At 45.4% G+C, this 15,117-nt stretch overlaps 3 annotated features.

The window, feature by feature from the left end:
* Nucleotides 922–1,422: an enhancer, noted in NCBI's record as "H3K4me1 hESC enhancer chr6:160724446-160724946 (GRCh37/hg19 assembly coordinates)". NCBI's record gives its function as "activates a minimal SCP1, AML or CMV promoter by ChIP-STARR-seq in naive H9 embryonic stem cells {active_cell/tissue: H9 hESC(naive)}" and the evidence as "EXISTENCE:reporter gene assay evidence [ECO:0000049][PMID:30033119]".
* Nucleotides 4,389–4,975: an enhancer, noted in NCBI's record as "H3K27ac-H3K4me1 hESC enhancer chr6:160720893-160721479 (GRCh37/hg19 assembly coordinates)". NCBI's record gives its function as "activates a minimal SCP1, AML or CMV promoter by ChIP-STARR-seq in naive H9 embryonic stem cells {active_cell/tissue: H9 hESC(naive)}" and the evidence as "EXISTENCE:reporter gene assay evidence [ECO:0000049][PMID:30033119]".
* Nucleotides 6,013–6,513: an enhancer, noted in NCBI's record as "H3K27ac hESC enhancer chr6:160719355-160719855 (GRCh37/hg19 assembly coordinates)". NCBI's record gives its function as "activates a minimal SCP1, AML or CMV promoter by ChIP-STARR-seq in primed H9 embryonic stem cells {active_cell/tissue: H9 hESC(primed)}" and the evidence as "EXISTENCE:reporter gene assay evidence [ECO:0000049][PMID:30033119]".

Raw genomic sequence — 15,117 nt, 5'->3', positions numbered from 1 at the left:
CTTTTTCTTTATAAATTACACAGTCTCAGGTATGTCTTTATTAGCAGTATGAGAACAGGCTAATATAGTAAATTGGTACCAGGAGTGGGACAATGCTGTAAAGATATCCGAAAATTTGGAAGCAACTTTGAAACTGGGTAAAAGGCAGAGTTTGGAAGTTTAGAGGGCTCAGAAGAAAACAGGAAGATGTGGGAAAGTTTGGAACTTCCTAGAGACTTGTTGAATGCCTTTGACCAAAATGCTCATAGAGATGTGGAAAATAAAGCCCAGGCTGAGGTGGTCTCAGATGGAGAGGAAAAACTTGATGTAAACTGAAGGAAAAGTCGCTCTTGCTATACAAAGAGACTGGTGGCATTTTGCCCCTGCCCTAGAAATCTGTGGAACTTTGAACTTGAGAGAGATGATTTAGGGTACCTGTCAGAAGAAATTTCTAAGCAGCAAAGCATTCAAGAGGGAGCAGAGCATAAAAGTTTGAAAAATTTGCAGTCTGACGGTGCCGTAGAAAAGAGAAACCTATTTTCTGGGTAGAAATTTAAGTGCCTGGCTAACATGGCGAAACACCGTCTCTACTAAAAAATTAGCCAGGCATGGTCATGGGTGCCTGTAATCCCATGCTTGAACATGGGAGGTGAAGGCTGCAGTCAGCCATTGCATTCCAGCCTGGGTGGCAAGAGCAAAACTCCATCTAAAAAAAAAAAAAAAAATCAAGCCAACTGCAGAAATGTGCATAAGTAATGAGGAGCCAAATGTTAATCACCAAGACAATGGGGAAAATGTCTCCAGGGCATGTCAGAGAACTTCATGGCAGCCACTCCCATTACAGGCATAAAGGCCTAAGAGGGAAAAACGCCCCTGCTATGTGCAGCCTTGGGACTTGTTGCACTGCCTCCTGCCTCCCAGCCACTCCAGCCATGGCTAAAAGGGCCCAAGGTACAGCTCAGGCCATGGCTTCAGAGGGTGCAAGCTCCAAACTTTGGCAGCTTCCACGTGGTGTTGGTCCTGTGGGTGTGTGGAAGACAAGAATTGAGGTTTGGGAACCTCCACCTGGATTTTGGAAGACGTATGGAAATGCCTGGATGTCCAGGCAGAGGTGTGTTGCAGGGGTGGAACCCTCATGGAGAACCTCTGCTAGGGAAGTGCAGAAAGGAAATGTGAGGTTGGAGCCTCCACACAGAGTCCTCACTAGGGCACTGCCTAGTGGAACTATGAGAAGAGGGCCCCTGTCCTCCAGACTCCAGAATGGTAGATCCACCAACAGCTTGCACTGCGTGCCTCGGAAAGCCACAGACACTCAATGCCAGCTGTGAAAGCAGCAGGGAGGGAGATTGTACCCTGCAAAGCCACAAGGGCAGAGTTGTCCAAGGCTGTGGGAGCCACCATTTTACATCAGTTTGACCTGGATGAGAGACATGGAGTCAAAGGAGATGATTTTGGAACTTTAAGGTTTAATGACCCCCATCAGATTTCAGACTTGCATGGGGCTTGTAGCCCCTTCATTTTGGTCAGTTTCTCCCATTTGGAATGGGTGTATTTACCCAATGCCTGTACCTCCATTGTATCTAGGAAGTAACTAACTTGCTTTTGATTTTACAGGCTCATGAGTGGAAGGGACTTGCCTTGTCTCAGATGAGACTTTGGACTGTGAACTTCTGAGCTAATGCTGAAATGAGTTAAGACTTTGAGGGACTGTTGGGAAGGCATGATTAGTTTTGAAATGTGAAGATATGAGATTTGGGAGGGGCCGGGGCAGAATGATATGGTTTGGCTGTGTCCTCACCCAAATCACATCTTGAATTGTAGCTCCCATAATCCCCATGTGTTGTGGGAGGGGCCTGGTGGGAGGTAATCAAATCATGGGGGTGGGTTTTTCCCATGCTTTTCTAGTGATAGTGAATAAGTCTTACATCTGATGGTTTTATAAAGGGCTGTTTCCCTGCACACACTCTTGCCTGCCACCATGTAAGACGTGCCTTTGCTCCTCCTTTGCCTTCCATCATGATTGTGAGGCCTCCCCAGCCAAGTGGAACTGTGAGTCCATTAAACCTCTTTTTTTCTTCATAAATTACCCAGTCTCTGGTATGTCTTTATTAGCAGCATGAGAACAGACTAACACATCAACCAGCTGGAACTGATCAGCAGATTTCTTATCTGAATCCACAGCTCTTATTTCTAGTAAGCCCATGCATTATCTAGCTCAGCAAATCAATTAACACATTTTTTTCCTATGACTCTAGTTTCTCAACCTTTGTCTTTTTATCCAAACTCTAGCACCAACTCTCCATTCCAGCCACCACTTCCTCAAGGCACCAGATAAGCAAATCCTCTCGCTCCCAGGACATTCTTCCCCTTCCAGGCCAGGTTCCTCCTCCATCCCTCTAAACTCAAGTGAAGATTTGCCTATTTCATAAACTTTTCCTGAATTATTCCACCCTCTTCCAGGCACTGTAATCTAAGTGATTATATCCTGATAGCATTAATCAGGGAAAAATGGGACCAACCCATGTCAGAAAGTGTGGACTATACTGGATATATGTTTCTCTTTTACTCACCAGTAATGCTTTCCTCTACCTAATACTCTGTAACTATCTCCAAAAAGTTAAATAAATCAGATCATTAACTAGAGAGGCCTTTGAGGCTAAGTGACTTGCCCGAGTTTGCAAATCTTGTTCAGAGAAGAACAGGGACCAGTTCCCAGCACCTGGCTCTTCCTGCCAGGATTGATGATATTGACCCCACTGCCCTCTTGTCATGGTTCCTGAAAAAAACTCCTCTGATTAATGCACCACCTTAAACCCTACTAGATGATTTCAGAATCCAACCAGATGACACCTCTTAGATAAAGGGCTCTCTTAGAGATCGGCTATCGGGGCAATCGTTTTCTAGAAATAGCCTCTGCCCAGAATAGATGGAAGTCTTTCAAGCTGGCTATTTTCTAAGGTAGACCCTTTCTGAGGCCTTTGAAGTTACTTTGCAGCTGCAAATGGCTGCCCTATGGACAGAATAGGACTAGATGTCTAATAATTCCAGAGCAGGCCTGCACAGTTATCTCAAAGCACAGTGCCCCAAGTGAACATTTTCTTAGCATAAACATCCTATTCCTTAATATGTTATTACTTCCAGCAAACATAGATTTCTTAAGTTCTTTCAATTTGAGATAAAGTGCAACTTTTGTTTAGACTGCAAAATATTAACTGAAGAAAAGGGCCTTTAGAAATGAGCTTTAATGACAATTTTAGTATGTCTTTAAAAGGCAAGACTCAAGAATGCCCACGTGATCCTGTCTCAGCAGAATAAGTGGGTCTCAGCTGCCCGTGTCCATCACAGGCAGGGTGGTGGCTGATCAGAAGACTGTGTTCTCGACATGGGTGAGATGCTGGGAGCTTGGCCACTGCCCAGGCAGCACAGGGAAGCTCCGGAACCTGGGAGACCCCAGCAATGGGCTTTATTATGATCCCTTACTCCTCACTTATTCAGAGCAGTACTGATTCTACCAAGTGTGTTTAAACTGTACACCAGATCTGCCTAAAAACTCCCTGAGCCAAATACCTAAGGGAAATCCTTACAAGCTCACAAGAGACAGGGATAGCTCAGCCTGCCAATACTTAATGGTTTTCTGCCCTGGTGGGAAGAGAAACATACAAAAAACCTTTTCTCTTCCTGTGGGTATGACATTATTCTATATCTCCCCGCTCTTTGGATGGGAAGGCTGGAAATTGAATTACTGTACTTTGGGGGAAGGAGGATTTTGCTTGTGCAGCCACATTCTCAACAAAGTCTCAGCACAGTGTAAATGATTCTCAGCAAATGAGGTTGCTGCAACGTCCACAGAGACCCAAAGGATGCTGTTTGTGTCTCTCAGCACCTGGCTGAGCCCCGATGGTGTGCACGGCAAAGGGCTTGGTGAGTGCAAAAGACAAGGCCCTAACGAGCCTAAAACTCTTCATAGCATAGCATCAAATGCCAGATGTGGATTTCCAGAGGTAAGTGCCACAGGGACTCAGTGAACACCTACAAAGCGCCAGGCACTGGGCTGCTTGTGGGAGACAAGGGACAAGTGGCAGCATCCAGGGAAGGCATCCTAGACACGGTGGGAGCCAATACGTGGATTTTCCTAGAGAGAATGGTAAGGAGAGTGCAGGAGTAAAGCAACAGGCTGGCCAGAACCTGCTGCAGTGGGGGATGGGTGAGGAGCTGGGGCCTGGCAGAGTGAGATTGTGGAGGGTAGCCGAGTCTCCCAATCCCATCTGGCACCTGGATGGGAGAGTGTGGACTTTGTGTTTCCTGCACGGGCCACACCTCCTCCCACCCACTTCCTCTGTCAGACACACCCTGCCCACTCCTTTGCTGGGCTGGCCCCTGCCTGCCCTTCCAGAACAGCGAAGACGTGCTGTGTCACACTTCTGGGAAGCCCTGGCTGCCCCTGCTTTCCTCCGTCTCGGAGGTGCCCTGTTTGGATCTCCCCAAGCCCTTGGCATGTGCTGTAAAACCACCTTGGGTTTGCTGGTCATGGTCCCCTGCAGGCGATGAGCGCCTTCAGATCGTGCCCCGGGGCCCAGCACCATGCCCGGCATGGAGTTAGCTGAGTGTGGAGCCAGAGGGGAAGGGCAGAGCCCAGGACTTCTGAAGGCTGGGGCGGGGGCGGGGTGTACTCTGCTCCCTGACAGGGAACTACAAGATTTAGAGGGAAGCTTTGCTGGCGGAAGTGGCTCCTGGAGAAGAGTCCGTCATCTTTGGATTTATGTACCTGGGTTCCCTGAGCCCTGCCAAAATCTGCTGAAGCTCCCTGGCTACTGTGGAAATCAGATGCCTCTCAGGGCCTCAGTTTCCCCATGGAAAGAAACAAACAGTTTCTTAGAGATGGTCACAGAATTGCCGGTTTTTATTAAAATCTTTACTTTTGATCCTGCCATCCCACTCCTGGAAATCTGTCCCATAGAAATAAAAGTATATTCCGGGACATAACGGCACACAAAGGATGGTTATTGCAGCAAAACATTGGAAACAACGGAACGCCCATCCACAGGAAGACCAAGCCGTCTTCTCGTCTTCTGGCTGTGTCCTCACGTGGTCTTCTCTCTGCACATGCGCATCCCTGGTCTTTGTATGCGGCCAAATTTCCTCAGGACGCCAGTCAGATTGGATCTGGGCCCACCCTAAGGCCTCATTTTAACTTCACCCTTTAAAGGCCCTGTCACCAAGCACAGCCACATTCTGAGGTACTCGGGGTTAGGACTTCAACATAGGAATTTGCAGGGGACACAATTAATCCAGGCTGTGTGTGTATGTGTATGTGTGTGTGGATGTGTATGTGTGCATAGATGGGTATGTGTGTGCATGTGCATGTGTGTGCTCACATATGTATGTATATATGTAAGTATATGGGTGTGTATATATGTGTGTGTGTTGTGCGTGTTTGTATATGTATATATGTGTGTGGGGGGGTATGTATGTGTGTATATGTGCGTATGTATGTTTGTGTATGTGCATGTGCATGTGTGTATGTATGTAAAATATGTGTATGTATGTGTGCATATTTGTGTGCGTGGTGTATATATGTGGTTAGATATGTATGTGTGTATGTGTGTATATGTGTGTTTATATGTATGTATGTGTGTATGTGCACGTGTGTATGTGTGTATGTGTGTGCCCATGTGTGCGCATGTGTGTATATATGTGTGTTCATGTGCATGAGAGAAAGAGACTGTGTGTGTGTGTGTGTGTGTGTGTGTGTACTTTGACTCTGATCGGATCATGCTGTCCTTTCCCAGGCACAGCGTGCATCTGCTCTGACTTGGTCTGTACTTCTTTTTGAGAGAGACATGGTGACTTGCTCTTTAAAAAAATATTTTTATAGGGTTGTGTGTTTCCTGGGGTTTTCTAATTTCAGTCAAAAGCAACAATGACTGTGGTTTCATTTTAGGTTAGCCCAGTCCTGGTAAATGATGCCGGTTGGGTGGTGCTCTCTGATGGCAGGATATTTATGAAATAACACATAGCGTCTTCTTCCCCTTTGGGGTTAAGCAAAGTACAAATCTGACCACTCAGTGAGCTCTACTTTTCATATCCCTCCCTTGCCCCTATTATTTATTTGTCTTCACTCACTCTGTGACCTCTTCAAGTCCATTTCATCCTCTGCCCACACGTATTTTTCTTTTTTCTACACCCTTTGCTTTTACCTACAGCTGGGATTGTCTTCTCCCATAACGAAGTCCCACATAGCCAAGATGAGTGAACAATTCAACACAACCTAAATGAAGAAGATGTTTGCCATCTCTGTGCCTGATTTATATAGGAATAACATGTGTTGTCTTTGGAATGCCCACTGTGGGCTTGGTGTTGCAGCATCTCAATGCCCCATCTGGCCATGCCCACAGAAATATGGGAAGTGTTTCGCTGACTCTAGAACAGCCTCGAATAAACCTTCAAATCCTCTCTTTCTTTTTCTCAACTCACTCAAGATGACAGAAGGAAGCCACTGAGCAAAGCTCTCTGAAGCAGACCACATTGTAGCAGGTTTTGGCTGTGGTATTCCTCAAACCAACTGCCAGAAGTATGAACACACACGTTGGCAAGGACATAAAGCAGCAGGACTAATTGATTCTGAAAGCTTAGCCACCGTGGTGGGGCACGAAGAGCGCAGAGCTGGGTCTGGTCCCACGCCACTGTTCATTCACTGGGTGCCCTCATCGAGCCACCCACAACTCAACTGTCCAGCTTCTTACCTGTGTCCTGGGACAGCTGTGTTTTCACTGGATGACCAGGTGGGTCCTAGCTCATGCATGAAGTGCCAAGTCAGTGGCGGAGCCCTGGGCACATGGGAGGTGAGAGATGGCTTTCGCATTTCAGTGATGAGAGGGCTGGCTCGAAGCCAGAAGAGCTGGGTCACCCTCACTACTTTCCCCTGAATGTCACACTCATCACTGGGAAAATGGGGATATGAGAGGAAACCTCCCAGCTGCCCTTCCATGCTTGGACCATCCAGAGGATGTTCAGACAGCCACTCTGCCAGCATCCTCTACATGCTCTTCTTCCTTGTCCTGCTTCAAGGGTAGGCAGCCCATCCTTTCTAGGGACCGTGCTCTGGAGGGTGGGATCCTGGGAACCCAGCTCTATGAGGCTTGGATCCTGGCTTTTGGAGACCAGAGAGTTTCTTCGGGCCTCACTGAGCCCCCAGCCATCCCTGGGAGTCCTCCTCCTCCTGAAGCAGATGCTGAGGGGCCTTACGCTGGGCATGGGCAGCAGGTGCCTGGAGCCTCCCAGCCTTCACCCTGCATCCTGTCAGGGTGGCCAGGGCTCAGCAGCCACCACAAGGTGGAGTTAACGACTCAGTGTCCCTCAGGGGAGCAGGATCACTTCCCAGCTCCACTCCAGAGCTGGCTTTTGGATCCTGGCTTTTGGAGACCAGATCAATCTCCCTGTTGAGTGTGGTTGCCTCCCTCAGACCGCTCCAGGTAACAGGGTGGCAGGGAACCTTCTCACTACCTGGACCCGAGGTGCAATGTCGTCTTATCCTGTATTACCTGTAATGCTATCTTAATCCAGCAATCCTGGCTCTATGTACACATCCAAAGGAAATGAAATCAGTGTCTCATAGAGACATCTGTACCCTCATGATCATTGCTGCAATTTGCAGCTATTACTCACAATAATCAAGACATGGGATCAACCTAAAGCATCCATCAACAGATAAATATGTGAAGAATATGTGGTGTACACACACACACACACACAATGGAATACTATTCAGCTTTTAACAAGGAGATCCTGCCGTTTGTGACAACATGGATGAGCCTGGAGGACATTATGCCCAGTGAAATAAGCCACATACAGAAAGAAAAATACTGCATGATCTCACCTACATGTAGAATCCAAAAAAGTTTAACTCATAGGAGTAGAGAGTGGAATGGTTGTTATCAGGGGCTGAGGGAGGGGATTTGGGGACATGTTGGCCTCAGAGTACAAAATTTCAGTTAAGCAACATGAATAAGTTTTAAAGATCTTATTACAGCATGGAGAATATAGTTAAAGATACTGTACTGTGTACTTAAAATTTGCTAAAGATAGATCTTGTGTTATCACCAAAAAAAGGTAAGGTGTAATAAAAAAAAGTAAGGTGATTGATATGTTAATTAGCTTGATTTTAGTAATCATGTCACGATATATATGTGTCTCATCATGTTGTGCACTTTAAATATATACAACTTTTGTCATTTCTATCTTAATAGAGCTGTAAAAAATAAAAATATGAAGCAAGGGACAGTGTTCACCAGCTCATAATGGATAGAAAGTATACCTTATATTTATTTTTATGCTAGAGGTTTATTCAGTTATTCACTCATGCCTTTACTGAAAACTACCCTCTTCTAGGCATAGTGCTGGGAACTGAGCACACACCGATGAATATGTCACAGCCCCTGTCCTTGGAGACCTTCACCTCATGGTCTAGCAACAGGTGAACAAAAAAAAAAGCAATATGGGCATTCAGTAAATCCCTGACTGGTATGCAAACATGAGGCCAGTGCCCCCACTGGATACCCCTCCCTAGTAATGTAGAATAGTGACCTTTTCACCACACCCTGGCTAAAGCTTCTAGAAACACACACACACACACACACACACACATTTAGAGGTACAGACTGTGACTATGGAACAATTCAGTGTAACGGCCACATGAGGAACCGATGTTTGACCTTAATCCCTTGAGGCCAGGTCTCTGATAATCCATGAAACAAGCCTCCAAAGTCTTAAAATTTGTAAGTAGGAAGGGCTGAATGCTGGTTGTGACTGAAAAACACACTCTGAGTTCTCTGTTTTCATTGGGAAACACTGTGCCTGTATAGCTTTAAGCAGAACTTGTGTTCCTAAATTCTTAGGGATAAATCCACCACCATCTCGGGCTTCCTCCTGGCACTGCCTTCTTTAAGCCAGGTCAAAACCCACCTCTTCCAACAAGACTTCCTGATTAATCCTACCTTACACAACTCATTTCAGGGCCTCTTGGCACCCATGCAGTGACCAAGGCCAACCAACCATGAAAATAATCACTGTCTTCCCTAAACCCTTAAACCAATGGTTTATCTAACTAATATGTGCTCTCTTTTGGGATCATGCACAGTTTTGTTTGTTTTTTAGCCTGGTAGAAGTTACCTACATATGCTCTGTAGGCTGGTAAAATAATTTGAACAAAACTATTTCTAATAAAGCTCACCACCCAAAACTGTATTTGTAGAGGACTTTTTGTTTACAAAAATCTTATACCTACATTTTCTCAATAAATATTGCACTAACACTGTGATCTATAAATACGGCAACTTCCGTCTTACAGATGAGGAGAAAGATTACAGAGATTCCAACCCCGATGTTCTGGGGTATTCCCTTATTTTTACTTCTTCGTAACTTTCACAGATAATATATACAAGAATCACTGTATTTGCAATAATGTAGATGCTCCCTTCAAATGATTCTATGTGTTCCATTAATATACCTATCTAGCACTTAGCACTTACAGGTGAGACTAGTAGAGATTCTGTAAGTGAACGTGGAAGCCTGTCCCTATATCCTCACCCATACTTAGCCTATGGAGCTCCATGATGTCTGAGACCAGGTCTTCCCCATCCTTTGTAACTCTCAGAATCTTAGGCACACAATGAGTTCACTCTGTATTTGTTGGAGACGTTTATGAATGTTTTCTGTTTTTTGTTTTTTTTGAGACAGAGTCTCCCACTGTCACCCAGGCTGGAGTGCAGTGGCGCGATCTTGGCTCACCGCAAGCTCCGCCGGGTTCATGCCATTCTCCTGCCTTAGCCTGCCAAGTAGCTGGGACTACAGGCGCCCACCACCACGCCTGGCTAATTTTTTGTATTTTTTTTGGTAGAGATGGGGTTTCATCGTGTTAGCCAGGATGGTCTCGATCTCCTGACCTCGTGATCCGCCCACCTCGGCCTCCCAAAGTGCTGGGTTTACAGGCGTGAGCCACTGCACCCGGCCATGAATGTTTTTTATAAAGACGGAAATTTGGCCAGGTGCGGTGGCTCATGCCTGTAATCCCAGCACTTTGAGAGGCCAAGGTGGGCAGATCACAAGGTAAGGAGTTCAAGACCAGCTTGGCCAACATGGTGAAACCCCGTCTCTATTAAAAATTCAGAAAATTAGCTTGGCGTGGTGGCGGAAGCCTGTAATCCCAGCTACTCAGGAGGCTGAGGCAGGAAAATCGCTTGAACCCTGGAGGAGGAGGTTGCAGTGAGCTGAGATCGCACCATTGCACTCCAGCCTGGGCAACAAGAGTGAAACTCCGTCTCAAAAACATTAAAAGAAAAAGACAGAGATTCAGTCCCCCATCTTCTGCATAAATGATCCTCAGCCATCTGGGGGACTTAGCTGCAGTGGAGCCTGAGGGAGTCGAGCTGCATTTTTCATCCCAGGATGTTACTCTCATACGATTTTCAAGCCACAACAGAAGCAAAGATGAGGTGAGCAGGGACAGAGTTATTTCCGACTGGTTGCAGATGGGGAGAAAGGTCTATGGTATCTGTTGCTGATCTCTGGGCTCACATCAGACACTTTGCAAATCTGGCTCTCTCCAGGGGATTTGGGTAACAGCCCTGCCTTTCAGAGCAAATAACAGTATACACTCGCAGAGCTCGTTATAGCAGTTTTGGTGGGTTTAGGGACGCAAGTTCCCAGCCGGGACTATTCCTGTGGAGTTCCCTGAGTTACACCCTCCAGGCCACGCCCCCTGGCCAAACGTGAGTCTAGAGCAGAGAGTTTCCATGTAGAGGCTTCATCTGTTTGTATTGGCTCATTACAGACACTCCTTGAGATTTGACCAATGCAACATGTGGCCCCATGCTAGCGTGCTATGTGCTGAGACAACAGCTTAGAGCAACAGCTGGGGAACCTTCCCTTCTGCCTCTGTTCTGAAATAAAGCACGTCCATTTAAGACAAAGGGGGCTATGCTGAAATGACTTATGGGGAAAATTACAGGTCACAAAATGTAATGTGACTATAACATATTGGAATGTTGATGACTGCTCGCCATAAAGTGGTCACCAATGTTTCTTTCACCCCCCAACATTTAACATGACAACAGCTACATGTCACATTCTCTATTTCATTCCCTGAAAATGAAAGAATTAGGTTTGGTATGATTAAATTTCCACTCAATTCTAAAGAATTCTAAGATTTTATAGCAAAATATATCATATGATGAGGATATTATATTTTGGAAGTTTGGGTTTAGTGGTCTCTCCCCTTCCATCATTTCATAAGACTTCCTTGTATTTTTAAATGGAATCTTGAAACAAGATAACATACATTGTGGAGTGATCTATTGGTGAAAGAAAAAGCCGTATAAAATCAACTGAAAACTACAGGAAACTATTAAGGTGATGTGACAAAAAAATGTGTGGGCCTTAATATTTTTGCCCTCAACCAGCAAAGACGAATATAAATCATGAAAAAAACAAGTAACTTGAGAAAATCTTATTTTAAAATGCATAGGATACACACACATACACACACGACGTATGTTTACTGAGTTGCATAAATTGAAATATTAAAATAATTTAAATTGAAATAAAGTCAAAATGTTTCTGCATAGGAAGATTGGGAAGATTAAAATACTATGAAAATAGCAATACTCCCTAAATAATTGAGGTGTACCATTTAATCCCAAAGAAAATGTTTTTTTAAGTTAAAAAAGTTAACATAAAGTTTATGAAGAAAATAGAATAAATAAGAATAGTTGGCGAATAGGTATTATATTAATTTTTTCTACAGGAGATTTTTTCTATCAAATTTGGAAAGATATTTTAAAGTTTAAATAATTTCAATTAGCATTCTAGGGAAGTAAGATGAGCCAGAAAAATAAACAGAACAGAGCTGAGAACCCATCAACAAATCATAGTATACACCAAAAGGACATGTTTTATAAAAGTGGCTTCACAAATCAATGGGGATTTTTTTAAGTAATGGTCTGAGAGAGTTGTCTTTCCTTTTGGAAGAAATATTATTTTTTATCTCATGCCCTTAATAAATTCCATATGAATTAAATAATGATACATAGAAAATAATTCCATACAATGTTTTTGAAAACTTTATCTCATCTCAGTAAGGAGGATGCCGAAGTATAAAAGCAATGGAAGAAATAAAACAAAAATATCTGTCTATTTAAATATTGAGCATCTTTGTAGGTCAAAACTCCTTAGAATCAAAAAGCCAAAAATAAGCTAGGAAAAAAATCATTGGCACAAATTTTCAGCTTTCTAAAAGTACCAGCTTTGCCTTGTTCTCCATTCTGGCAAAGAACAGGCTGTTTCTGTGTTGATGCAGGTTTTCCTATTTCTGTTCCTCTTTCATGACCTCTTGTGCCCATGGGCTAGTGACATAGGAAGAGACCTGGTATGGAAATTCTACCAGTTACTTACAGCATTGTTGAATATCTATTTAAAATGTCTAAATATTTCCGTGCCTCAGGACCTCATCGTGCTAAGTATTTTTTTTTAGAAGTTTTATTACTTTATGTCAGGCCTCTGAGCCCAAGCTAAGCCATCATATCCCCTGTGACCTGCATGTACACATCCAGATGACCGGTTCCCGCCTTAACTGGTGACATTCCACCACAAAAGAAGTGAAAATGGCCTGTTCCTGCCTTAACGGATGACATTGTCTTGTGAAATTCCTTCTCCTGGCTCATCCTGGCTCAAAAGCTCCCCCACTGAGTACCTTGTGACCCCCACTCCTGCCCGCCAGAGGACAACCCCCCTTTTTCCTTTACCTACGCAAATCCTATAAAATGGCCCCACCCCTATTTCTCTTTGCTGACTCTCTTTTCGGACGCAGGCCGCCTGCACCCAGGTGAAATAAACAGCCATGTTGCTCACACAAAGCCTGTTTGGTGGTCTCTTCACATGGACGCACATGAAATTTGGTGCCGTGACTTGGATCGGGGGACCTCCCTTAGGAGATCAATCCCCTGTCCTCCTGCTCTTTGCTCCATGAGAAAGATCCACCTGTGACCTCAGGTCCTCAGACCGACCAGCCCAAGAAACATCTCACCAATTTCAAATCCAGTAAGCGGCCTCTTTTTACTCTCTTCTCCAACCTCCCTCACTATCCCTCAACCTCTTTCTCCTTTCAATCTTGGCACCACACTTCAATCTCTCCCTTCTTTTAATTTCAATTCCTTTCATTTTCTGGTAGAGACAAAGGAGACATGTTTTATCCGTGGACCCAAAACTCCGGCGCCGGTCATGGACTAGGGAAGGAAGCCTTCCCTTGGTATTTAATCATTGCAGGGACACCTCTCTGATTATTCACCCAGGTTTCAGAGGTGTCAGACCACGCAAGGACGCCTGCCTTGGTCCTTCACCCTTAGCGGCAAGTCCCGCTTTTCTGGGGGAGGGGCAAGTACCCCAACCCCTTCTCTCTGTGTCTCTACCCCTTCTTCGCCTTTCTGGGGGGCAAGAAACCCCCAACCCCTTCTCCTTCACCCTTAGCGGCAAGTCCCGCTTTTCTAGGGGAGGGGCAAGTACCCCAACCCCTTATATCTCTGTGCCCGGATCCCTTATTTCCGTGCCCCAACCTCTTTTATCTCTGCGCCCCGATCCCTTATTTCCATGCCCCAACCTCTTATATCTCTGTACCCCAATCCCTTATTTCCATGCCCTGACCTCGTATCTCTGTGCCCCAAACCCTTTCCCACTTTTCTGGAGGGTAAGAACCCCCAAACCCCTTCCCTCCATGTCTCTACTTTCTCTTTTCTCTGGGCTTGCCTCCTTCACTATGGGCAACCTTCCACCTTCCATTCCTCCTTCTTCTCCCTTAGCCTGTGTTCTTAAGAACTTAAAACCTCTTCAACTCTCACCTGACCTAAAATCTAAATGTCTTATTTTCTTCTGCAATGCTGCTTGACCCCAGTACAAACTTGACAGTAGTTCCAAATAGCCAGAAAACGGCATTTTCAATTTTTCCATCCTACAAGATCTAAATAATTCTTGTCATAAAATGAGCAAATGGTCTGAGGTGCCTGACGTCCAGGCATTCTTTTACACATCGGTCCCTCTCTAGTCTCTGTTCCCAATGCAACTCATCTCAAATCTTCCTTCTTTCCCTCCCACCTGTCCCCTCAGTCCCAACCCCAAGCATCACTGAGTCTTTCTAATCTTCCTTTTCTACAGACCCATCTGACCTCTCCCCTCCTCCCCAGGCTGCTCCTCGCCAGGCCAAGCTAGGTCCTAATTCTTCCTCAGCCTCCGCTCCTCCACCCTATAATCCTTTTATCACCTCCCCTCCTCACACCCGGTCCGGCTTACAGTTTCGTTCCATGACTAGCCCTCCCCCACCTGCCCAGCAATTTCCTCTTAAAAAGATGGCTGGAGCTAAAGGCATAGTCAAGGTTAATGTTCCTTTTTCTTTATCCCAAATCAGAAGTGTTTAGGCTCTTTTTCATCAAATATAAAAATCCAGCCCAGTTCATGGCTCATTCGGCAGCAACCCTGAGACACTTTACAGCCCTAGACCCTAAAAGGTCAAAAGGCCGTCTTATTCTCAAAATACATTTTATTACCCAATCTGCTCCCGACACTAAATAAAACTCCAAAAATTAAATTCCGGCCCTCAAACCCCACAACAGGATTTAATTAACCTCACCTTCAAGGTGTACAATAATAGAAAAAAGTTGCAATTCCTTGCCTCCACTGTGAGACAAACCCCACCCACATCTCCAGCACACAAGAACTTCCAAACGCCTGAACTGCACTGGCCAGGTGTTCCTCCAGAACCTCCTTCCCCAGGAGCTTGCTACAGGTGCCAGAAATCTGGCCACCAGGCCAAGGAATGCCTGCAGCCCCGGATTCCTCCTAAGCCGCTTCCCATCTGTGTGGGACCCCACTGGAAATTGGACTGTCCAACTTACCTGGCAGCCACTCCCAGAGCCCCTGGAACTCTGGCCCAATGCTCTCTGACTGCTTCCCAGATCTTCTTGGCTTAGCAGCTGAAGACTGATGCTGCCCGATCGCCTCGGAAGCCCCCTAGACCATCATAGATGCCGAGCTTCGGGTAACTCTCACAGTGGAGGGTAAGTCTGTCCCCTTCTTAATCAATACCGAGGCTACTCA

Source organism: Homo sapiens, chromosome 6 (genome assembly GCF_000001405.40).
Source record: "Homo sapiens chromosome 6, GRCh38.p14 Primary Assembly".
In the NCBI taxonomy this organism is placed as follows: Eukaryota; Metazoa; Chordata; class Mammalia; order Primates; family Hominidae; genus Homo; species Homo sapiens.
Note: the sequence above shows the minus strand (reverse complement) of the source record. Positions and strands in the feature narration are given on the sequence as shown.